At 43.1% G+C, this 25,840-nt stretch overlaps 1 protein-coding gene and 1 long non-coding RNA gene across 5 annotated transcripts in view, besides 2 other annotated features; one reads left to right on the top strand and one right to left on the bottom strand.

Annotated features, from left to right (window-relative positions):
- Nucleotides 1-18,703, bottom strand: part of BNC1-AS1 (BNC1 antisense RNA 1) — a 34,652-nt gene extending 15,949 nt beyond the window's left edge. For both annotated transcript variants that reach the window (XR_932541.3, XR_932542.3), the window contains exons 1-2: nt 18,621-18,703; nt 107-220 (exon numbers count right to left, since the gene is read on the bottom strand). This is a non-coding gene — a long non-coding RNA (BNC1 antisense RNA 1). The remainder of the gene's footprint in view (nt 1-106; nt 221-18,620) is intronic.
- Nucleotides 16,890-17,390: an enhancer, noted in NCBI's record as "H3K4me1 hESC enhancer chr15:83954077-83954577 (GRCh37/hg19 assembly coordinates)". NCBI's record gives its function as "activates a minimal SCP1, AML or CMV promoter by ChIP-STARR-seq in naive H9 embryonic stem cells {active_cell/tissue: H9 hESC(naive)}" and the evidence as "EXISTENCE:reporter gene assay evidence [ECO:0000049][PMID:30033119]".
- Nucleotides 18,051-25,840, top strand: part of BNC1 (basonuclin zinc finger protein 1) — a 28,781-nt gene continuing 20,991 nt past the window's right edge. Inside the window, exon 1 of one of the 3 annotated variants that reach the window (NM_001717.4) lies at nt 18,051-18,185. In NM_001717.4, coding sequence (NP_001708.3) covers nt 18,087-18,185 — 99 coding nt within the window. In that variant the 5' untranslated portion in view covers nt 18,051-18,086. Of the gene's footprint in view, nt 18,186-18,619; nt 19,615-25,840 lie in introns of those variants that run through there. The other 2 variants (XM_011521893.2, NM_001301206.2) reach the window with 2 other exon arrangements.
- Nucleotides 18,160-18,660: an enhancer, noted in NCBI's record as "H3K4me1 hESC enhancer chr15:83952807-83953307 (GRCh37/hg19 assembly coordinates)". NCBI's record gives its function as "activates a minimal SCP1, AML or CMV promoter by ChIP-STARR-seq in naive H9 embryonic stem cells {active_cell/tissue: H9 hESC(naive)}" and the evidence as "EXISTENCE:reporter gene assay evidence [ECO:0000049][PMID:30033119]".

Here is a 25,840-nt window from a genome sequence, read left to right as displayed (position 1 = left end):
ACTTTTCCCCATCTCCATAGGTATGTTACTTTTTAAGAAACCATAGGTTCTGGTGGCACGCTTAGTATTTTTTTTCAGGCTTAATGAGTAGATAAGAATGTCCCACCTTAATCTCAGTTTTACGTGGTGATCTTGGGTCTGGTCCCCACTCTTGCATGAAGTTCTAAATCAATAATCAGTAGGTGAATTCATTCCAGTGAAATGACAATAATACAGCTCTCTAAAAATGACATTAAAATACCATTTTAAGGACTTCAAAAAAAGTGAAGAAATAACATTCATAAAAGAATAAAAAGTTATGAAACAAAACAGGCAGAAATAACATAACAGAAATATGAAAAATAATTTATAATAAATCTTAGAAGTAAAAAAAAATTCCTTGATGTAAAAAATAATTGGGTCTAATGGACACAAAAAGAAAAGTAGCGGGAGATAGTACCAGAAATTTTTCCAGAATTCAGCACAGAAAGATAAAGATAAAAAATAACCAGCAGCAGTTCAGAAAGCCAAGTAGAGAAGTTCCAGCATATGTCAAGAATAGTTTGGAGTAAGAGGGTAGAGATAATAAGGGAGAGTAATAGTTAAAGAAGTTTTGGCTGAGAATTTTTCCTAATATCGTATAAGCGCACCAAATGCCAATCAGAATAACTCAAAATAAACCATTCCTAAACATATCATTATAAAACTGCAGAAAACCAAGGATATAGAGAAAAACAATAAAGCTATGTAAGAGGCAAGACAGACTACTGGCAACAGAACAATGGTTAGACCAAGAGCAGAGCACTCATCAACAATATCAGAAACCAGAAGATTTTTTTTTTTTTTTTGAGACAGCGTCTCACGCTGTCACCCAGGCTGGAGTGCAATGGTGTGGTCTTGGCTCACCGTAACATCCACCTCCAGGGTTCAAGTGATTCTCGTGCCTCAGCCTCCCAAGTAGCTGGGACTACAGGTGTGTGCCACCATGCCCAGCTAATTTTTGTATTTTTAGTAGAGACAGGGTTTCACCATGTTGGCCAGGCTGGTGTCGAACTCCTGACCTCGTGACCCACCTGCCTCGGCCTCCCAAAGTGCTGGGATTACAGGCATAATCCACATCCGGCCTGGAAGAATTTTAATGGAAGAATTGTCTTCATCAGTGTGCTGAAGAAAAAATACCATCAGCCGGGTACGGTTGCTCATGCTTGTAATGTGAGAACAAAATAAAAATCTACTCAGAGTTATAAACTCTAAGGGCATTTGTCATTCACAGATCCTCACTGAAAAGACTACTAAGGGATTTACTTCAGCAAGAAGAAAAGTAAGCCCAGAGGAATGGAATAGGATGTAAGGAAAGACAGAAAGCCCCAAATAAGAAAAAATATATTGACAGATTAACTATTGACTGTACATTTGGACCTGAAGTTACCTGAAGAACCATAAGATAAAAAGTTGAAACATGAGCCAAAACAAAGAAATAATTCATCAGCATTATTAAGAAAGAACTTGGTATGCTCTAGATTCTCTTTGCTCAGCCATGCGGCAGAGAGATGTGTGACCTGCATCTATTGATTGATATACTCCAGTCTTATTCCCAGAAAGATTTAGGTTAGCTAACCTGCAACTATTCCTAGTCTATCCTTCATTTTCAGAACCAAGTGCTTCCTAGGGGAGTCACTGGCAGCTTTTGATTGAACCTTTGGCACTAGTCCCAGGGAGAGCTCTCCATGTTCAAATGAATCATGGGATGTGGGTTCATTTTTTTTTTCCAACAATCCAGTCCCTCAAGTCTTCCAGACAAATACAGTAAAGACTTTTAGAAAAAAAATATGCAAAGAAAAAGGGAGCATGGGATATATGAAAAAATTTTGCAGAATTAAAGAATATGTAAGACTTCCCCAAAGGAAAATTTTCCTCCTAAAGTAGGTTAACCTGAAGATAAACCTGCTTTATATTTCAATGAGATATAGGAATTCATCACATCAATCAATGAACAGGTCAGCATAAAAGGAGAATGCAACAAAATTATATTCATAATAGCTGGAATTGGGTCTCCATAAAAAGCAGAATTAAAACTACAGAAAATCTTTTCATCCAAATAAATGATAGTGTCAAGAATGTTATGCCAAACACAAAATAAGTCAATAAAATATTTTAAAAGGAATAAAAGAAGACAATAGATATAAAGAACAGGACACTGACCTGATAGCCAACCTGTGGATAAAACATTCCTGATAAAGAGAAAACAAATGGTTAAGACTTAATTATCAAAGTTTTCAGAATTAGGGGTCTGGAGGGGGAATCCTGATATTAGAAATCAAGAGGACTTACTGTATCTGAGATAAGAGCAATAAAAAGGGAACAATATTAATATAAATTCTAGTGAATTCTTAAACCCAAGAGATAAAAATACACCTGTAAGTTGGTAAGAGTTTGGGGAGGGTGAACAAGGATTTAAGATCAATCTTGCTGCCTTATATATCTCTTCTGAAACTGTCAATGTTAAACTATTAGTTGGGAAGTTATGATTGAAAAGAAATAGTGATGGTCACTGATATTAAGTTTCAGAAATAAGTATAAAATGCTCATAATGTTTTTACAAGTAACAGGGAAAGAGTATAATTGGTGTCTAAAATAATTAATACAGATATTGGAATAAAAGGAAAATGACTTTGAAAGAATAGAGACAGGAAGTTTTCTACTGTGGTACGCAGCATCTGAGATGGCTCCCAATGATTCCTTCCTCCTGATGTTCACCCTTTGTGAAATCTCCCCTGCAGGGTGGGCTGGACCTACACCCTCTTCTAACAAATAAAATACAGCAAAAGTGATGGGATGTCACTTCTGAGATTTGGTTACAAAAATATTCTGGTTTCCATCTTGCTTACCATCTCTTGCACTCTCTTGCTTGCGCTCTCACTTGCTCTCTCTTTTTGTATCTCTTCCTGCTTTCTCTCTTGCTTGCTCTAAGCACTGCCATGTTGTGAGCTCCCCCATGGATAGACCCATGTAACAAGAAGCTGATACCTCTGGCAAACAGCCAGCCAGAACCTGATGCCTTCCTGCCAACAGCCATGTGAGTGAGCTTGGAAGTGGATCTTCTGACGCTGCCAACAGCCACATGAGTGAGCTTGGAAGCAAATCCTCTACTTGTTGAGCCTTGAGAAGACTGTAGCCCCAGCCAACACCTTGATTGCAGACTTACTAGCGACCCTGGACCAGAGGACCCAGCAAAGCCACATCCCAAGAGATAATAAATGTTTGTTGTTTTAAGCCACTCAGTTTTAGGATAATTTGTTACACAGCAACATATAACTAAAATACCTATTATCTGATTATATTTTAAATTTTAGAAAAATGGGGAAAGGGAGAAAAAGTAGAGGGAAGCCCTGAGGGGCACAATATTTCTTTTTTCCGTGAAAGTGAGCCAAAAGATACCAGTTTTGATTAAGCACAGAACGAAAAATGTCTAAGATGTTTTAAGAAAATTATTACTAGGTTAGCAATATGGTGATTGGCTTCCAAATAGCTAAAAGTAAACAGAATATATTGCATATGCCAGCATAAAAATAGAAAAGAAACACTGAGAGAACAAGTACCAAAATCTCTGAAGTCAGAGCAAGTGAAACAATTAGGCCAGGTACCAAGGAATCTCAGGTTAGTTTTAAAAAGAGGATCCAATGATATTTACTTATTTGATGAGCAAATAACTACTGAGTGACCACTGAGCTAACTGTGGTAAACAAGTCTGATTCAATCTGATGGAAAATATAAACAAGCAATTATAACACAGAATAGTAAGTGCAACAAGAGGGAAGTACAGGACAAATGAAAAGTTGATCAATGTAACTTTTCCTATCTTAGTATTTTTAACCCCTTTTGTTTTAGACCAAGCTTGTCCCACAAGTGGCCAGGACGACTTTGAATGTGGCCCAACACAAATTCATAAATTTTCTTGAAACATTATGAGACATTTTGCCTTTTTTTTTTTAGTTTATCAGCTATCGTTAATGTAAGTGTATTTTATGTGTGGCCCAAGACAATTCTTCTTCCAATGTGGCCCAGGGAAGCCAAAAGATTAGACACCCCTGTTTTAGATTATGTCCATATCAGCACCCCACTTCCAGGGAGCCTTCCAAGATTCCTAAGCCCTAACTATAAAACACACACACACATACACACACAGATGACTGCAGTGAAAATTTTAATTCATTGTTATTGGGCTGTGTCAGATTAAATAGAGTACGTACCAAAAAAGAATTAGAGAATATGAACAAAATAATTTTAAAGTACAATTAATAAATTATACTTTATTACTTTATGAACAAGAACTTATATTTTTAAATAAGACTCTCTCAATAAATTCAAACAAGTAGAAATTATATTGGTCATAATTTCTGATCATATGTAATAAAGTGAGAAATCATAAAGCTTAAGACAAAAAAGTCATTAAAAGATTGAAAAGCCTTATACCACATCTGGTTCAAAAAAATAATAATAAAGATATTTTAGAAAAAATGATTATGGAAACATTACATAAGCAAATACAGGAAATGTGGTTAAAGATATACTCAAAATTGAATTTATGAAGTGATTTTTTAAAAATAACTTAGCATTCAATTTAAACTTCTAGAAATAGAACACAAAAGAAATCCTAAGAAAATAAGAGTAGGGAAATAATAAAGATAAAAGAAGCAGACTTGTTGAAAGAACAAATAAAACAAGCAATATAGTAGCCCATCTAAGAGAAAAGAAGGAAGCAAAATTAGAATTTAGAAAATTGATATAACAGTAGCTACAATGTTTTTTTTTTTTGAGACAGAGTCTCACTCTGCCACCCAGGCTGGAGTGCAGTGGTGCGATCTCAGCTCACTGCAACCTCCACCTCGCGGGTTCAAGTGATTCTCCTGCCTCAGCCTCCCAAGTAGCTGGGACCACAGGCACATGCCACCACACCCAGCTAATTTTTTGTATTTTTAGCAGAGACAGGGTTTCACCGTGTTATCCAGGATGTTCTTGATCTCCTGACCTTGTGATCTGGCTGCCTCGGCCTCCCAAAGTGCTGGGATTACAGGTGTGAGCCACCACGCCCAGCCTTAGAATATCTCTTTAAGTTGGTATATAATTATGAATTTTGAGTTTTGAATTTAAAAATAGCAATTAGGTGATCATTTCTCCCTAAAAATAAAATAATGAAAGTATAAGAAACAGAAAATTTGGAAAAGTGTAATAGAGGAAAACAAATAGAAAAAAAAAACTATTAAAAAAAAGTTAAAAACACTCTATCCCCACTACCAGTATCAGGAATCCAGGTGAGCGCTGTCAAATCTTAGAGAAAGATGATTTCCATGTTTTAAAAACTTTGCCATAGCATTGGGAAAATGGGAGATGCCAAATGATTTTACAAATTAAACAACAAATTAAACATGTCAGTGGACTCCAGGCTTCTTTGACTTGATTATAGACCAATTTCACTTATAAATACAGATACGAAAACCTCAAGTAGGATAGAATTCCACAGGACATTAGAAAGAAAGTCTACAATTCAGTCTTTGAACAATCTTTTCTTGAACAACTATTATTGGGCACAGATGATACACTGAGCACTATGTTAAACCCTGGGAAATAACAAATTAGTAAGATATGGTCCTTGCCCTCAAGGAGTTCAGATTCTATTGGAGAGGGGGACACATAAAAGAACAATTAAAATAGTTAAACGCAAATGAAATCTACTCAGAGTACAGCCATGGACTGGAGTCACGTAGCCCATGAAGGAAAGATAAAACGGGTCTATTAGCAAAGACTTCTCAGAGAACAGTGTGTTTGAACTAAGTTTAAAGGAGGAACAGGAATTAGCTAAAAGGGAAGTGCAGGGAGCATTGTTCCACCTCAGCAGGTGAGGCTATTGCCAGTAGAGGAGATAGGAGTAAAAGCATGGAGGCAAGAGATTGTTTAGTGCTTACAGAGAACTATTAAGTGTTCACTGACTACAGGCCTAGGACTGTGCCTATTTTTCATACTGTACTCATAGGATCTAAACCAATGCCCAGCACCTAGATTTGTGGATCATCAGTTATGGTTGAAATCATACAACAAATGAGATCACCAAGACAGCGTATGAAGTATTTTTTAAAAAAAGAAAAGAAAAAGGTAGCTGAAGATAGAACCTGAGCCTGAGGAACACGAAAAGAGCAAGTGGAGGAAGAGGAGGCCATTAAGGTAATGGAAAATGTCCAGTGAGAGAGAAATGAGGAGAATCAGGAGGCTAGGAGTCATGGAAATCAGGGAAGAAGTCCCCAGAGACTAGTACAGCAGAGAGGGGCAGTGCAAACAGCTGAAGAATGCCTATTAGATTAGAAATTGGGGAATCCAGGCATCATGGATAGACTACTTCCAGGCTGGGCGTGGTGGCTCACGGCTGTAATCCTGGCACTTTGGGAGGCCAAGGCGGGCAGATCACTTGAGGTCAGGAGTTCAAGACCAGCCTGGGCAACATGGTGAGACCCCGCTCCCCCCCACGTCTCTACTAAAAATACAAAAATTAGCCGGGTGTGGTGGAGTGCGCCTGTAGTCCAAGCTACTTGGGAGGCTGAGGCAGGAAAATTGCTTGAACCCAGGAAATGGAGGTTGCAGTGAGCCGAGATGGCGCCATTGCACTCCAGCCAGGGTGACAGACAGAGACTCTGTTTAAAAAAAAAAAAAAAGGATATAGACTATTTCCAGAAGCTTAGCCAAGAACAGATAGAGAGTGAGGTTAAAGGAATGTTGTTTCTTATTTTTAGGATTGCTTCAGTTATCTGCTTCTGCCCAGCAAACCACCTTGAAACATATGACTTTTTAAAACAAAGATTTATTATTTCTCAGAATCCAATCAATTAACTAAGTAGTTTTTCTTCTGGTCTCTCCTTTGGTCACTATTCAGACTACCTTTAGCTGGTAGGCCAACTGTTTGGGCTAGTAGGGACTCGAGGTTTCTCTCCATGTGCTCTCAGAACCTTCCTCTCAAAGTGGTCTCTCACGCTCTGGAGCCGATTCCACATGGCCGTTCTCTCCATCAGGACAGCCTGGACCTCTCACAACATGGTGGCTGGGCTCCAAAGGGAATAATCCAGGAGAGATAAGCTCAGTGTGCAAGCAATTACTAAGCCTCTACTGGCAGCATACCTGCTAATGACCGTTAGCCAAAGCAAATTACATGATCACGGCTAGAGTCTACACAGGAAGGAACACAAGGGATGAATTGCAGGGGGGTGGTTGTTTATCCTTTTAATTGTCCACTATATAAGGGTATTTTAGAATTTAAAATGTTTATAGGCTAAGGAACTAATTGAAAGGGAGATGCTGAATGCACAATAAAGAGAGGCTATTACTACAAGGGTCCCAAAAGGTATGGTGGATGGGAGAGGGGGATGAACACCATCCTCTGAGCCTGGTGGAAGAGAGATTTAAAATGGGTTATGTATGTATTTCAGTTTAATCACTGAGGGGAACAGAAAAGGGAGTTGTTCATGGAAATGTAGCCCTGGGGTAAAGACTTGGAATTTGTGGTAACACCAATTCTGCCATCATTTTGCTTCTCCATCAATACTCAAGTGTGCATGTTGAGGCTGAAAAGCCTGATTACAGCATTGATCCAGGTTTAGAATTTGGTTGGTGGGTGCTGCAGAAGGATAATGGTGCCAGGAATCATGGGTTATTGGCGAGGGTAATTTGATAGAAAATCCAGGAATTGGGTGCAGTGGCTCATGCCTGTAGTCCCAGATACTCAAGAGGCTGAGGGGCAGGAAGATGAGACCACAGCCCCAGATGAGGAGAGAACAATGAGATGTTGGCAAACTGGCTAGAATAACACTACAGGACCAGCTTCCTTGGATGTGCCTTGAAAAGACACGCGGTGTATTTCCAATAAGTAAATCCCTCTAGGCATTGAGTGCAGGAGTTCAAATCCAGCCTGGGCAACTTAGCAAGACTCCACCTCTAAACAAACAAAAATGAATGTTGTTAAAAAAAAATAATAAAATTCAGGAATTAATAAAGGTTGAAGGGGGTTGAGTGTTCTAAGCCAATTCTCAATGACTGCAGTGAATGATGGAAAGTAACCAGGAAGTGATAGTGCTGCTGAAGGGCTGCTCATGAGTACAAGGACTGGGTCCATTGTATCCTCAGATGCAAATACAGTGCACACAGAAGATACTCAATATTAGGCCAGGCGAGGTGGCTCATGCCTATAATCCCAGCACTTTGGGAGGCCGAGGTGGACTAATCACTTGAGGTCAGGAGTTCGAGACCAGCCTGGCCAACATGGTAAAACCCCATCTCTACTAAAAAATACAAAGAAATTAGCCCAGCACGGTGGAGCACACCTGTAGTCCCAGCTACACGAGAGGCTGAGGCAGGAGAATCGCTTGAACCTGGGGGGCAGAGGTTGCAGTGAGCTGAGATTGTGCCACCACACTCCAGCCTGGGTGACAGAGGGAGACTCCATCTCAAAAAATAAATAAATAAAAATAAAAATACAAAAATTAACCGGCATGGTGGTACACACCTGTAGTCCCAGCTACTTGGGAGGCTGAGGCACAAGAATCACTTGAATCTGGGAGGTGGAGGCTACAGTGAGCCGCGATTGTGCCACTGCACTCCAGCCTGGACAACAGAGGAAGACTAAGTTTAGAAAAAAAAAAAAAAAAGTCCCGGCGTGGTGGCTTACGCCTGTAATCCCAGTGCTTTGGGAGGCCGAGGTGAGCAGATCATGAGGTCAGGAGATGGAGACCATCCTGGCTAACATGGTGAAACCCCGTCTCTACTAAAAATACAAAAATTAGCCGGGCGTGGTGGCGGGCGCCTGTAGTCCCAGCTACTTGGGAGGCTGAGGCAGGAGAATGGTGTGAACCCAGGAGGCGGAGCTTGCAGTGAGCTGAGATCATGCCACTGCACTCCAGCCTGCATGACAGAGCGAGACTCCATCTCAAAAAAAAAGAAAAAAAAAAAAGAAAAAAAAGATGCTGTTCAATATTAGTAATAATTTGTGGAATAAACAAATAACTTTAATTCATCTCCTTCATTTTACAGATGAGAAAACTGAGGCCCCCAAAAGGGTAAATGTATTGCTCAGTCACCAAAGCTAGTGTACACCTAGCCAAGGCTTCCTACTTCCTGACAAAACCATACCCAATGTGGAAGTCCTTCTCAGCATTCCCAGAGGCAGCTCATTATTTTATTATCTCACAACCATTTAAGTGGCATTTGTCATTGTTTGGTTGATGGGATGAAATATCTTTGAATGAATACAGTTGAATGAATAAAGGGAGTGGTGAAAATGTTCCTTGAGGCCTAGAGGGATTTACTTATTGGAAATACACCACATGTCTTTTCAAGGCACATCCAAGGAATCTGGTCCTGTAGTGTTATTCTAGCCAGTTTGCCAACATCTCATTGTTCTCTCCTCTTCTGGTACTGTGGTCTCATTTTAAGACTCAGAAAATCGGGAAGAAACACACACACACATATCAGCTATCTACCCATATTCACTATGGATTTTTCCAGACTCCCTAGGATTAAAGAAATTAATGAACTTTCAGCTGAATAGGACAGAGGCTTTTAAAACGTTACCAACTACTATCCTTAAAGAAAAATGGAAACATCTCCCCCAAAGGCTATTGTCAGTTATGGAATTCAACTTAAGGAGGAAGGTGGTGACATGCTCCTCTTTCCCACTGGACCAAAATTTCAAAGCTTCAAATGTGTGGTAAATCCAACCAAAGATAAAGATTTGCAGGTGTTTTTTGCATAAAAGCAAGAAGGGCAGATGTATCTGAAACGTGCTTCTAACCAAATACGACATCTGCAATCCATTAGGGGTGTCCTGATGAAGGAAAGTGAGAGGAGAGGTTCAGGCAGAAAGCCTGCTCTGCACAAACATCAGCCTGAGGATGTGTCCAACCCTCTGTCAGAATCTCAGGACACCAAGGTCCTAAAAAAGGTGACCTTTCCGGGGGAAACTTACATTTCTGCCAAATAACCCAGTTCCTCTTCTTTCTTGCCTTCTATCAAGTTATCTTTGAAATGTCAGTGCTTTCTCTTTACTCAAGTACACCTACATGTTTTAGTATTTAAGACTTGGCAGCCACCTCAGATAAAGAGAACACTCCCTGCTTTGAGTGTGCAGACCTTCCTTTCCCAACACTCACGGAGAGCGATCTGTGTCCTGATTCAGCTACTTACACTCCCACAGAACAAAGCAGAATTGTCACCACGAACATTACTTGCAGGTTACTCAGTGGTTGTTATACGCCTGTCCTGGACTCCCAAGAAAAACCACTAACTTTTATTAAAGTGTTTGTAGCAAAGCCTGTTGCAAAACATCCATGGCTGTGAAAATGACTCCAAGTTATGTGATTCCTAGAATGGACGTTCAGAAGGACCCTCAATTTTGTTCATATGTAGGATCCATGGTCAGGGCTTGCTTCAGACCTCCCTTTGCAAGTCTTACCTTGAGCTTCAGCAACTGGGCTCAAATTAAACATAGCATGTAATTGGAGTGCTCCTTAAATGAATTCTCTCAATGAGCATACCAAGTCTGTTTCCTGTATAATGTCTCTTACTTGCTTACTGGCCTTTTGATAAACCATTAGAGATGGAGCATTTTGTTAATTACTAAACTCCTGGTGACAGACAAAACTGGCCTGTTAAAACCTGTGCTGTAATTTGAGGATTAAAAGCCACACCTCTGGGAAACATCAGTATCAAAACTGATTTGGTGTTGGAGACAAGGTGTAGAAGCCACAGTTTGACAAAGTAGATTTCCAAGCACAGTTACCAATTACATTTTTAGAAGTCTTCTATTATGCCATTTACAAGAAGGTACTTTTAAGGAGCTACAAGTCAGGAATATGTGTTTAAATCTCTTCATTTATAAATGTATAGGTAAAGCCCACATTTAAGAAGCACCTACAGTGTACAGAAGAGCACTGTGCTAGATATAGCAAAAATCAGCAGTCCTGGGCCGGGTGCGGTGGCTCATGCCTATAATCCCAGCACTTTGGGAGGCCGAGGCAGGCAGATCACTTGAGGCCAGGAGTTAAAGACCAGCCTGGGCAACAGGGTGAAACCCCACTTCTACTAAAAACACAAAAATTAGCTGAGTGTGGTGGCACACACCTGTAATCTCAGCTACGTGGGAGGCTGAGGCATGAGAATCGCTTGAACCCAGGAGGCAGAGGTTGCAGTAAACCAAGATCACACCACTGCACTCCAGCCTGGGTGACAGAGCAAGACTCTGTCTCAAAAAAAAAGGCCGGGCGCGGTGGCTTATGCCTGTAATCCCAGCACCCAGCACTCTGGGAGACCGAGGTGGGCAGATCATGAGGTCAGGAGTTCAAGACCAGCCTGGCCAACATGGTGAAACCCCATCTATACTAAAAACACAAAAATTGGCCGGGTGTGGTGCTGGGCGCCTGTAATACCAGCTACTCCAGAGGCTGAGGCAGAATTACTTGAACCTGGGATGCAGAGGTTGCAGTGAGCCCAGATCGCACCACTGCACTCCAGCCTGGGTGACAGAGCAAGACTCTGTCTTGGAAAAAAAAAACAAAAAAACACAGTCCCTAACCTCCTAAATTTCATAATCCAATGAAGAAAATGTTATTAAAAAATCAAAGTATGTGGTCAGTGCATTTCTGGAAAATATTTTACTTAATAGTAAGGAAAAAACTAATGATTACAGCATCAATGTACTTTGATTGGAAAAATCTCTTCACTTGACCCAGCGTTTGTGGATTGAAGGTCTGTGTCAGGAGGTTCTCTCCTAATCCTCCATCACCAATGTCATCTAAAAATGCAAATAATGAACAAAGACTGTTATGACAGAGAACAGTTGGTATGTCACTTATCCTTCCTTCATCCAGAATAATCTTCCAGTAAAACTGAAGGTAAGTTTCTATATCAGTTGAGAAGCTTTCTCTTAAAAATAAAAAAAAAAAATCTCAAACTGGCTTAAGTGACAAAAGTGATTTAATTTTTCACAGATCCATGAAGCCCAAAGGCTTCAGGCGTGAATCAGAGCTCCAGCTGAATTTCTCTACAATTCTCTGAGCTCTCATCTCCACATGTCAGCTCTATTCCCAGCCCGATTTCCCTTTATTATTCACAAGATGCCAGGAACAACAGGGATTACATGTTATCCTTCTTCACCCCCTATGGGAAAAAAAGAACTCGGCATTTCATGCCCATCAAACAAAAGTTCTGAGTTTTAAGCTGATTGGACGACCTGGAACCAATTCCTGTGCCCAGGAAAATACCTTGGTGCTGATTGGTTTAGGCATGGGTCACCTGAGCCAATCACCTCTGGGACTGGGGTTGATTACCCAGAGAACATAGCTGCTACACTGCGGAGAAGGAATGAAAGGAAGGGTGAAGAGGCCAGTCACACATCATACTGCCTGCTATAATCTTTTTTCATGCACAGCCTGGATTGCTAATTAATTTTTTTATTCAATATCAGACATAAACTCTATAAAGGGGAATCTGTTTTCTATAAAATTTCTAAGTCAGACATTTAAAGTGGTTTTACTTTTTCAAAAACAACAAAATGGGTAACTCAAATTTTTTTTGCAGAGTTCTCTCTTCCCTTAAGAATATACAAAAATTATCCCCCTAAAAATGTTTTTACCATTTGATATCAGTGAGTGAGAATGATTCAAAATTTGTCCTATAGCCCATCTTCCCTAACCCTTTTATCCTCAGTTTCCGAAAGCAATATGACCTAACCAAATATATCCTCCTTCACCTTGGATAATGGATCATTAAATCTGCAGAAGACACCATGTTCCAAGGCATAATGAACTTTAAAAGTTTTCTGATATATGTTCACCAGCCTCCCAAAACCCATCCAAGCAGGACCTGTCCTGTCCTCATGAAACTCGCCCCAAATTCACCAACTCAATCTGTAAAGTGCCTAGTTTAAGGGATTTTCACCAACTAAGTATTTCTTCCACATGTGTAGTACTAAATCAGGGATGTCCAATCTTTTGGCTTCCCTGGACCACATTGGAAGAAGAATTGTCTTGGGCCACACATCAAATACACTAACACTAATGATAGCTGATGAGCAAAAACCAAAACAAAACAAAAAACAAAAAAACTCGTAATGTTTTAAGAAAGTTTAAGAATTTAAACTTTGAATGTTGGGCTGCATTCAAAGCTCTCCTGGACCACATGTGGCCCACAGAACTTAGATTGGACAAGCTTATTACTAAACAAAGTGTCCAGGGATAAGTTAACCTGTGGTATTTTCTTCCCACTGCCTTGGTGATGAAAGAATGAGTTGTCTGGAAGGCAAGCCATTGCCTTCTTGTGACTGTTGCTGACTGTTTAAAGGCCATGGACAACAGCCTAAATGAGAAGCTAACTTCACACACCCCAGACATACCAAAACAATGGTAGCCAAACTTTCAATATTTGCTCCAAGCATTCCACTTGAAAAAATCATTATAAGCCTTCGTCTGTTTCAGAAATGAGAATTTTCTGGTTGCAGAAGATGCCACTGAGGCTCACAAGTTGCATCACTGGCAGCCACATTCAGGCAAGCAGTAATTACGAATCAGGCCTGGGTTTGTTTTCACTTTGGAATTTACTATTGTATTTATCACTTCCTCGCTGACACCAACTCCCACCACCCCCTTGAGATCTGGCAATCTTTGGCAAAACCCAAAATGCCAGGCACAGTGCATTCGCCTCTGTGTAGCACGACCTGCAGGGTATTTTGCTCCCTTCAACCCCAGGCCTTGTGTGAGAAATTGAGGAACAGGAACAATCTTTTGCCACCAAAACCCTGGGCCACATTTGGGATGGCCTCATGTCCTCTCCCTCAAAAGGGAGCAGCCCTGGAGCTGAAGAGGGGAAATTGTGACACCTGTGCCAGGTTTGTGGTAGGCCAGCCTGTCCCCCAGCAGACAGCTGCGTGGGGGGGCCAGTTTGGCCCAAGTGCTGCTTAGTCAGGCTCTAACACCGAGCCAAGCTGCAGATGTGCCCAGACCTGCCGCCACCAGGTGTATGTCTCTGGGCCGGGAGGTGACGGCACAAATGTGACTCTTGCCTCCTGCTGTTTCCTGACACCTCAGAGGAATGTGGAGGACTCAGGAGAGGACACCACAGAAGGCCGACAGGGCCACTGCTCTCTGCCCACCCTGCTATTTCAAAAGGCCTGCCCTGACCCTTTGGCCCTCACCCTGTCTTTCTGCCAACAGCCCCAGGGCTGGCTCCTCCTCCAGGCCACTGGTGGGCTCAAGTGAGAGGCGGCTACCTCCTTAGGCAGATTACCTGCTTGCCTGACCTGCTGTAGTATCATGATGTTCCCACTGTTAGTGCCCAAACCTCTACAGCTAAAAGGTGCTTTTTTTTCTAATACGATTTCCATGATTAAAAATATTCTTTAAAATTTTTTTCAAGCTCATCTGTCCCCACTGGGGAAAAACTGCTTGTGAGATTTAGTTTCCTAAGAAGAGGCTATTCTGTATTTAACAGAATTATTTATTGACAACCAGAGGGGGTCTTCTAGGGTGTAAATATTAGAAAGGTTTACCTGCCCATTTGCGGACTTCAGATCCAACACAAAAGGTTGTGTCTAATCTCAGTGTGTTTTTCGAGAATTCCATTTAAAACTTAGGGAAGTTATAAGCTGTTCTCCATCAGGAGTGATGTTCACACTACAAATATTTATTGCACGTCTATTATGTGCTACAATCCCAGGCCTCAAGAAGACATCACTATATAGCAGAGTGTGGAAATGAATAGCACATTGGCCAGATTCAGCTCGCAAACATTTTCTTTGACTCATACTGTATTTATCAAAAATTTGAATTGGTTGCCAACTTTTAAACATCAGAACATTTACAGTTTCTCTTGAAAACGCAAGAAATCTGGCAAAACTGAGCCCACATTCCTGGCTGATGACAAGTAGAGTTAACTACTGCCCACTTCAGACAGGCACTGGCTCTGGGTTCACATGGCCCCCCACCTCCCCACTTCCCCCTGACTCAGCCTGCCCAGCCCCTCAGCATTTGTCATTGATTCTCAGGATGGAGAGTGACAACACATTCACTCTGGGAAATGCCTCAGTCAGAGACACAGCAACCTAATCAAGCCCTGCATCTCAGAAGAGCTGATTCTTACCTCCTTATCATCAGGTCACAAAGATTTCATTATTTTGTATCTTCTCAATCTTTCCAATTTTAATAAAGTTTCTTTTAGTACTTGATAATGTAAAGTTAGGGAAGACAATCTGTTTTTATCACTTGCCAAGACAAAGAACTTGCCACAAAAGAAAATGGCAAGGTTGAAACATAGAAGCAAAACGTGAGGACTTTGCAAGAGCAGGATGGGCTCTCAGAGATGCTCTCATTTGCCAGATGAAAAAGGTGAGGTCTAGAGGAGGGAAAGGCCATACCAGACCCCACTGGTAACCAGCAGGAAAACAGGAAGATGGTCTGGGTAGTCTTTACCCAGCCAGTACCACACTCCTGTCTACAGGCACAGGTGGTTTCTCTGTTCCTGTTTCTACTTAACATTTCCAGGGAATGGCAGAGAAGCCCATCAGACCTGAGAAATAAATTTGAGGACTGATGTCAGAGGTCACATGGTACTATCAGGTACATGATTTAAAATGAAACTGCAAAAGATTAATTAGTAATTTTTATCTCGACCTACTGATTCCCTATATGTCGGTCCAAATTGTCACATTTGAAAAAAATGTATCTGTCGATCCCAACAGTACATGTTGGAAGAGGCAGCTTGTTTTCATGTTTTCAAATTATGTACTGCCAGAATCCTTCTTGTGTTTGTAGCCAGGAATAGAGTTACACAGTTGATTCTGATATTTGTTGCTAGCAGAAAGTTTTACTAAAACACATATAATTTAGTTGCAATTAATATAAAGATAATGACCAAAACTTTCAATTGGACAGATTAAAGTTATTGAAGTGGGCCACCGCCTGGGACATAGACATTGTGGTGTATTTATAATAGGCATAGGTGGCATTCAGTAATATTGTCATCAAGGATCTCTCTTGGTTACAATATTATTGTAGGTAACAAATTTAAGTTAATCCAGAAATTGGTTTTAGATGCAGCAGAAAGGAAAGGGGGAGAGGGTTTGCAGAACAGAGACTATTTTATTTAGTCCTACCAATCTGGCCTGAGACAGGCTTTCATATCTGCTTTTATAGAGAAGAAAAGAGGGGCCAAGAAGGCTGACTTCCTCAGCCAGTTTCCAGTTGCTAGGAATGAGCTATCCCTGGGTCACTATGACTGCAAAACCAGAGGTTTATCTGCTACCGTATCTCATAGCACAGAAGCCACTAAGATGAGTAACCACCAAAGGAATTAAGACAAGCACACATCACAACTAGGCTACACAATGCTACTGGCACGATGAAAGAGGCAGAAAAAAGTGCCTGGGGGTCACAACAGGGCAAAAGCACATCGAGTGGAGGCTTGGTGGATCAGGGAAGGTTTCTGAGATGTGGTGACATTCCAGAAAGTCCTTCAAAGATGCACTGTGTTACAACAAACAGAGAAGGAGGTGTTAGAAGAAAGGCCTCAATACGGGGGCACGGAGGAATGAGAGGTAAGCAGTTTAGATGCGGAATGAATCTAGCAAAGCTACATCAAGAAGTTAGCCACGTGAAAAAAAAAAAAAAGAATCTCCTCCCACGGCAAGGTCCATCACGTGAGGCCAGGAGACTTCAAGCCTACAAGGAAAGGCGCCACACATCAGGCCCAGGACACTCACCTGTGTGTCCACCCCAGGAGAGGCAGAAGGACCCGCTGGACCCCAGGACGCCAGGACGCCCAGACACCCACACATTCTTCCTCGTACACCTTGTTCCCTCCTTTCCCTTCTCTTCCCTTCAGAAGCCTTCCACCTGCCTGTGCCTTCCATAGCCACAACCAGGCACACTCTGGGTGGCTGAGGGCAACTCACTTCATCTTCCTTTTCCTCTCAGAGAGGGAAGGAAGAGCTTTGTTTCCTTTTCAAGGATCCCCACCAGCAGCAAGGCAGGTGGAAGAAACTGAGGGAAGAGGAAGCAGGACCCCCGCCGCCCCCCCAGTCTAGCCTTTACAGACTCCTTTTAAGGAGCTGAAGAGGTTGGGAGAGGCTTGCCCTGCCCCGGGGCAGCAGAAACCCGGGCGCTGCTGCAGCAGCTGTGGGCGATCTCCGTCAGCTCCTGGGCTCCAGGATCCTGCGGCCTCAGCCCCTCCGCGTCTACTCTCGGGGCCACCACCTCCAGTTGGCTTCTCCAGGGCACTTCATTTCATTCCGTCCCTAGCATCCAATAAGACGCGAAAAACTTAATCCCATTTTACAACTGAAGCCACTGAGGCCCAGAGAGCAAAGCCATTTGTCCTGGGAAAGTGGTCAAGCTGGGACTTTGACTCTTCAGACCACCCAAGGGAAGGGGTGTGTGTGTGTGTGTGTGTGTGTGTGCGTGTGCGGTGGGGGGCGCTTGTTTTGAGTTCTTAAGAAAACCTCCTGGCGACCCCCTTCTTCCACATCCCAAGACGCTCGTCCCGCACTTTCTCGGGAATGAGGTTTCTGCAGGCGAGGGCGGCGCTGCCTTCTTCCTCCGCGGCAGTGAGACCCCGAGGGCGCCCCAGGGTAGGAGGGGAGGCCGAATCATCTCCTGAGAAGAGCGCCAGAGAACTTCAGAGCGTTTCGCCCTTCCCCGGGAGAGGCAAACACCGACACGTCTGTGTCTTTTACCAACAAGTGCCTTCAAGCCCGGCGGGGGCAGACACCTCCGCGCCGGCCGCCGGCGAGGTCTCCGCGGTCTGCGGGGGCCACGGCCTCGCCTCAGCTGCGCTGATTTAGGGCGTTATCCGGTCCCGGGGCGGGAGGCGGCCTCCCGGGCGGCGAAGCAGCGCCCGCGGCGTGGGGCGACCGCGCGGTGGGCGGAGGGGCAGGGGGAGGGGCGGAGAGGCGTCCCCGGGGCGCAGGGGGCGGGCGTGCGGGCACACGCGGTGCGCGGCGGGGGCGGCCATCGTGCTGCGCAGCCTGGGCGCTTGGGGAGCCGCCCACTTCGCCGGGTCGCGCCCCGACGGCCGGAGCGTGGATGCGGCGGCGCCCGCCGAGCCGGGGCGGACGCGGGGCGGCCCGGGCCCGGGAGACGCGCCGGCAGCCCCGGCACCGCAGCGGTCGCAGGATGGCCGAGGTAAGCGCGGCGCCCTCCGCGGGCGCGGGGATTCTCTGTGCGCGGAGCAGGCGGCCCGGGACGCCGCTGGGCTCCGGCTCCCGTGGGTACCCGAGGGCCACCTCCCGAGGGCCAGCTGGCTACCTGCGCGGCAGCGCGGCCCCGAGGCGCGGCGGGAGGGACCGTGGTCTCCGGCCGGGAGGCGGCGGCGGGGGGGTTGGGGCTCTGGGACCCGTCCCTGCCCGACGTCCCGGAGCTGGCAAACGGTCTCCGCGCCGGATCTGCGGGCGCGTCGGAGGTGCCGGCGGGCCAGCCTGTGGAAATCGGCGGCGGCACTCGGCGGGTACCCTACACGCCACTCTCTGCCGCCCGCACCCCAGGCTTCAGCCCAGGACGTTAGGACTTGCTGTTTCCACCTGTGGGGGTCGACCCCTTCTTTTTTTTTTTTTCTTTTACCTCAGAATTTGTGAAACAGCTGATATTTCACACTGGCCGTCTTTCTCTCCGGGGATTGTTTCTCTGGAGAACGGGGCGCGCGGCAGCCTCCGGTCACTGAGGAGAACTGCGGAGACGGGCGGGCGGCCGTGAGGAGGCTCCCGTCCACTGCGGGACAAATCTTTTGTAGAGCAACAACAACAACAAAAAACAAAACAAACCCACAAGAACAAAAAACCCACGACTGAAAGTCGCTATTTAGACAGGTCCGGTCCGAAAGCTTCCGGGACACAGACCGAGCGTTGACCGTGTGCGGGGCAGATTTGACCAGCTTCACTGCGGACCCTGGAGTCCTTGTCGCGGCTCCGCGCGAGGTGGCCCGTCTTTCAGAAAGCGCTGGGACGGGGCTAAGGCGCTTGGGCTCTGGGCTGGAAGCCGGGCCGAGCCGCGTCCGCCGCTCCGAGGTTTTCCTGGAGTGACAGGAAGTGGGCCTGGGCTGCGGAGCCCGCGGCTGCGCCTGCCGCTTCCTTCAGGGGTTTGCATGGGAAGCGCCGGGACGGGAAGCCCCCGGCCCCCGACTTCGAGCTCCCTTAACAGTCCCGCCCAGCCTGGCCTTGGGACCTGCGAGCGCGTGGCTCGCCCGTCTCGGGAGCGCCCCGTCGGTTCCGTGCTGGGAGCCGGGCGGCGGCGGCGAGGCTGGGGGCCGCGGGCGGAGAAGGAGGAGGCCGCTGCGGGGTCTCCCGCTGCTCCTCCGGAGCCGCCGCCCAGACCCGGAGCCCCGCCGCCGCCTGGCTTTGCCGGAGTTCCTCGGGATTTGTCAGCCAGATGTGACAAGATTGTGGCGAGGCGAGTGAAGGAGATCTGATATTAATCAGCGCGTAGCTCCGAGCCAAACTTTCACAAATGCGGTGTAGAAACATGTTCTTCTCATTTAAGGCATCTCTTTGTGGCTGCGGGGCTGCCACCGCTCCGAGTCTGACAGTTAAGTGGAATGCCATCTCCCAGCCTTAATTGTGTGAGTGAAGTTGTGTGTGGTTGGGGGGCGGGGGGCATCAGACGCTCGGGGGTTCGGTAACGTCCCCTGGTTTTATGGCTGTGCTCGCCTCAGTCCTCTGAAGGCCAGGGCATTTAAAGCGGCCCAGACGCCTGGTCTCAGCCAGGCCTCTTGCTGTTAACACTTAAGGGGCCTAAAAGAGGCCCCACCGGTGTCCTGGGAATCCCTGTCAGGGAGAGAGAGAGTGTGTGTGTGAGGGAGAGAGAACATGTGTTACTGCATAGGACCACAGAGCAGATGTAGCAACAATTTTTTTAAAAATATATTCTTTTCATCAAAGCGACAAGATTTTGGCTTGACAGTAAGTGAATTGAAAAACAGCATTTGGCAGATTTTTTTTCATTCGCTGTTTATTTAATTTGCTATTCGATTTTATGGGATCTCTTGATAAGATTCTAAGTCTTCGACCCTGAGTTTGCAAATACGTGTTAATGTATTGAAACTTTTGTTCAGTGATGGATACACTGACTCTCTTTTCATTGATCCCTTCCCAGATTCGTTGATACATATTAAAACCTTGTTAAAATAGTTTGTCAAAATAAAATTTTGTACATCATATAAAAGAACATTACTTCAGATGTTACAAATTGTACTGGATTTGATTTGCTCTTTAAAGAGGTGTGAAAAGATGGCTTCTCCTTTTGTGATGATGAATTTTAAGAAATAACTTTATTCTTTTTGGCATACTTTCAGATGGTTAAAACGAATAAGATACGAGTCATCGTTTGATTTCTCATCTAATAAGTTTGCTAACTAATTTCACCAAGAAACTATTACTATTTCAAGTCAACTGTTGGTTGAACGTGTTCCTGTTGTAGTTAAATGCTGAGAAGAGGTGGTGAAATCTTCACCTAGCACACATGATGCTCACACTTTGGGAACTCGTAATTATGTTCAGGCATCTGCATAATTTAATTTGAATATCATCTGTACCTATAGTGTCCCTTCAGACTAGTAAGGATTTAGGGACATTCTCCTCCTTCAGAAAGTGGTTAAAGTTCTTTGGCCATTGATACCTACAGTGATCTGTTTGCTGTGGTTATAATTCTCATTAGAAATATTGACTAACATGAAGTAATTGCCTTGGAAGCATGAGATTTACTGGAGGGCTATTTTATGTTTTATTGCATCTCCCCCATGTAGCAGTTAGGCCTGCATCCCAGGCCCATGCCCACTTTCTGTACCTCAAGATCATCAGATTGGAAAGACGATCCAACCCGATAGATGAGAGAGAAAAGCCATACAGGTTTCCCTGTGGAACAAAGTAGTTGTCCCTAAGCACACATTTGTCATTTATGAATGCCTAGGGATAAGTATAAACAGGGAAACATTTTAAAAGTTCAATTTGTCAGTAAAATTAAACTGCAGCTTATGGAGTGGGGGGCAGAAGTGTCTTTTAGCTTCTGTATGTGGCTTTAGAAGTAATTTTGATGTGGCCATTAAAAGGGATGCCCTGAAGGTTCCACAGGGTAAATTACTTACAGGAGTGTGCTTCACCCCAGGGTGAATTTTCTCCTCTACAGATGTCATTTAGAGTGGGTTACTTTTGTCAGAAACTGTCCTTTTTAGAAGGAACTGAAAATACCTTAGCTAAGGTAAAATCTCAATGATGAGCCACCCATCTTTTTAGTATCTAAAATCAAGATTTTAGGGAGTTGGTACTTTTCTTTTAATTACGTAATTCCAAGTGTTCTACTGCAGAGTTTTTGTTTCTTTATTTTTGATGACTTCTCTGAGAGATGTTAAAGATAACTGGATTCTGCTCAAAAGAAGCATCTGGAAAGCATTTCTTTTTCCTTTTAAACTGGTTTCCACCTGAAAACCTTATTTCTGCATATCTTGTCATTCTTTGAAGTCCTTTTCCTAATTCTGGAAATTCCAAGCTTCCACTGTGGCACCATTTCTCTGCACGGACACATGCCTATTTCAGCCGAAGAGGGTGGGTATAAACAGAGAACAGACTTGTTTCTCCAGGGTCCAATTTTGGGCCTTCTCAAACCTCACATAGTTAGTTATCGGCAAACAGACTGTCACTCTTGCCGTCTACACATGGACTCATTATTATAAACCAGCCTAACAAATCACAGGAGGACTCTGCCTTGGGGAAATGATAATTTCATTCAACTAATGTGAAACAAAAGAGAGATGGAGAAATAAAATGTGAGGGTCAGGTCCAAACAGCCCTGTCCATAGGGAAATAGTTGCCTCAGGTAAACTCTTAATTCAGGGTTCTAACATTTTTTCATATAGTTAGATTAGTTTGATGGTCTCCTACAGATTATTTGTGTGATCCTACCAAATACTCAAACCTCAAATTTCTTTTCTAGTTGTACATCAGCTTCCGGAAGTGTTGTCCTTTTTCTGTAGTCCTCTAATTGTTTCTTGCATTATTCATTATGAAGGTAAAATTTTTATACTGTCAACTCTTAGCATTTCATGATACTTCACACTGAATTTGAAGCAAGGGATCAGGATGGCATAATTAACTAAGTTTGATCTTTTCTTTTTAAAAACTTAGTTTCAAAAACCTAGTTCTCAATGAGTCCCCAAAAGAATGTTTTACAAAATCTTACTTAGAAATGTTCACAATTTCGTCTTTATTTTGTATCAGCAGCAGTAGTGAAGTTGCATTGCTTATGTAACTTAGGTAAAATTATGCTAAAGTGTAAGTGTTTTGCTCTGTATTTTTTTCCTCAGGCTGATTCAACTATGTTCGGAAAGTTCCCTTTACATGCAATTAATATCTTTTGGTTTTTTGTTATCAAAGGTTTCTAAAGATTACCTCTGAGGTTTCCCAAATTAGGTTATAAAGGAAAAAATATATCCATATAATTTACATTTCTGTACAGTTCTTAAATTTTTTTAAAGAAGAAATATTTGGCTTGGCTTTTAAGGTAGTGTTTGCATGTTTTTCAGCTATTTCATAGATTTTCAGTTTTTGAAACTAATAATTTTAAGAAAAAAAGCACAGACATTAAATTATTTTGGCACACAGTTTATACTTTGATTCATAGACATCAAAAGAACAAGTATTTTCCCCATCACAGTCTTTGAACTAAGCAGCTAGAGAACACTACAAATGTGTCATGCATACTTTAAACTCACAGGTAGACTCAGCCCAATCAATATCTGTCACTTGAAGGAGCTCTACCTCCCACCTGCCCTTTCTCTGCCAGACCCTTCTCCATGCCCTCAGTCTTTGGTCTCTCATTTCATCCTCATACTTGGAGTGAGAAACCAGATTTTGTCCATTCTCCTTTAGTGTTGTGTTTATATTGCAAATGCTGACTACCTGGTTTCTGAGGCTCCCCACATCTCCTTTTAACCATGCTTGTGGTAAACAGTGCCTCCCCATTGTAGAAAGCCAATGATCCTATGAACCCAATAAAGAGACTCCTGGCTGCTCATCTGGACAGCCCAGGCCCACCTTATTTTGTCTTTCAAGGTAGGTCTCACTGCCCGTAACAGAGACCTGTGCTCTGTGGCCCAGGCTCCTTGGCCTGACACATATGTACATGTTAAGCTTTACATTGTACCTAGGCTTGTGGTATTTCTTGCATGCACTGATGAGAGCATGCCTTCTTCCTGGAGGAAGCCCTCTCTGGCCTCTCTGTACAACCTTGACTTCTCCATTTCTCCTATCCCACTCAAACTATTTAATTTGGGGGAGAGTAGGAGTTTGACTTATTTTTTTCACTTTTTATTATAGAAGATTTCAAACAATCAAAATTAGAATGAAACTTGATGTAATATGTGCTTGGGGATTCAACAGTTACCAACTTTGGGCCAGTCTCATTTCATCTGTATTTCCTACCCATCATAACCAACACTAGATTACTTTAAAGCAAATCCTAGGCATTATATAATTTCATTCATATATATTATAATATGAAGCTCTAAAATACAAAGGCTCTTTTTTAAAAAACCAGGGCAATATACCATAGAGCACCTAAAAAATTAACAATAACTGTAATGTCATTAAATTTCTAATTGGTGTTCAAATTTCCTTGATTACCTGACAAACTTTATATTACAGTTGGTTTCTTCAAATCAGGATTCAAGTAAGGTCCGTACATTGTCTTTTTTAATATATAGGTTCATACTTTACTTTTTTCCTTGCAATTTATTTGTTGAAAAAGCTGGATCATTTGTCCTGTAGAGTGCTCCCTGGTCTGAATTTCAATGATTATTTCCTTGTAGTATCATTTAAACATTCCTGTATCTCCTGTATATTCTTAAATTGGAGTTGAGTAAGAGGCTTGATCCAATTCAGGTTTGAACTTTTTTATCAAGAACACCATATGTGTGGTGGTATGTATCCTTCAGTCCAGAGACAAATGGCCTCCTATTTTTCATTAGGAGTTGCGGAATGGTGATACTCCAGTTCTTCATTTATTTGATCCACATTCAGAGATAATCTTTGTCTCATCAATGATTTTTTTACCCTGAAATACAGGTTATATAGCAAAGGATACACATTTGATTTTTTTCCTTTGTTTACCAATTTTCAGAATAGTTAGTTGGTTTCCTAGCATTTTCTAAAAGTGGCCAATGAGTTTTGTTTGTTTTGAGTATATTTTGAATTCCTAGATTTTAACACAGTGAATGACTCATGCTAATTTTTGACAAATCATATTCTCTACTCTGCTGTTTTTGACCAACCCAGTTGTGTGATTTTTTCTTGCAGTCATTCAAGTCTTCCCTAGTGTCAGACACTGGCAATTACTCATCTTTGTATCTCCATGAAGCTCCCCATGGTTACCAAGTACATAGTAGATGCTTTAGAAACAAACAAATAAAAACCTTGTTAAATAAATGATTATCATTTTCTTAAACTATTAGTGGAAGATGATGGCATGATGTGTTGAGTGTCTGCCCCATGTGTGTTTCTCAAGGTCAGCTAAAGTCCGACACTCTCACCTGCAGATAAGCTGCCTCACATTAAAGGACTTAGTGGGCTTCACCTCTCTTCTTCCCGGTTGTCCTTATTACCTATTTGGCAAAGGGTGATACTATTTTTCAGAATCCTAGTTGTACCTCTGTGGGTTTTCATATGTAAGAAAAACAATGGGAAACTTAAAAAGAAAAAGTGAAAGGAGTGAAAAGTGAGAGGTGGGAAGGTAAGGAGAAAAAAAAAATCCAGTTCTAATAAGGAAAGTAAGAAGTGCAGAGGCAAAGTAGCTCCAAAGAGCAGTGGGGTAGAGAATTAACTCCCACCCTTGAATGATGCAGTTTCCTAAACCAGGAAGGCTAGCTCTGCAGCCACAGAAAGAGTAAGAATGACAATTTCACAACAGGTTAAGTGAAGCCAGGCTCTCCACCTAGACACCAAAGGTAGCCCAGCTGCTTTAAAAGATGTCTTGTTTTATGTGTCCTGATTGGCAGTTTTTGATATGCACGTTAGCAACAATTATCTATATTCAACATTTAAAAAGTACTACTTAGAAAAAACTGGCCAGGCGCGGTGGCTCATGCCTGTAATCCCAGCACATTGGGAGGCCGAAGTGGGCAGATCATGAGGTCAGGAGATAGAGACCATCCTGACTAACATGGTGAAACCCCATCTCTACTAAAAATACAAAAAGTTAGCCGGGTGTGGTGGCATACATCTGTAGTCCCAGCTACTCAGGAAGCTGAGGCAGGAGAATCACTTGAACCCGGGAGGCAGAAGTTGTAGTGAGCCAAGATCCCACCACAGCACTCCAGCCTGGGCGACAGAGCCACACTGTCTCCAAAAAAGAAAAAAAGTGAATCAGGAGTTCAAGACCAGCCTAAGCAACATAGTGAGACCCCCGTCTCTATAAAAACATTTTTTTAAAAATTAGCTGGTTATGGTGGCATGCGCCTATGTGAGATTTGGGAGGGCGAATAAAGTGGGAGGATCCCTTGATCCCGGGAGGTAGAGACTGCTGTGAACAGTGATCACTGTCCTCCAGCCTGGGTGACAGAACAAGACCCTGTCTCAAAAAAAGAAAATCCTGAAGCATTTTTATTGTAAACTTGGTGGCTGTTAAAAAGTGATTTGTGGTTTGCCAGACTGGGTTTTTAAATTTAAAGTTGAAGAGTTACGATTTTTTTCCACTGAGAATCTGGCATAGCCTTAGAATCTCACACGTAAGAGAGGACCACAGACTCTAAAACTTAACTTCGGTGATCTCTGCTAGTGAGTCATTTTCCACGTGGTTTT

The sequence above is a fragment of the Homo sapiens genome, chromosome 15 (assembly GCF_000001405.40).
Source record: "Homo sapiens chromosome 15, GRCh38.p14 Primary Assembly".
NCBI lineage: Eukaryota > Metazoa > Chordata > Mammalia > Primates > Hominidae > Homo > Homo sapiens.
The sequence above is the reverse complement of the archived record's forward strand: the minus strand, read 5'-3'. Positions and strand labels throughout refer to the sequence as shown.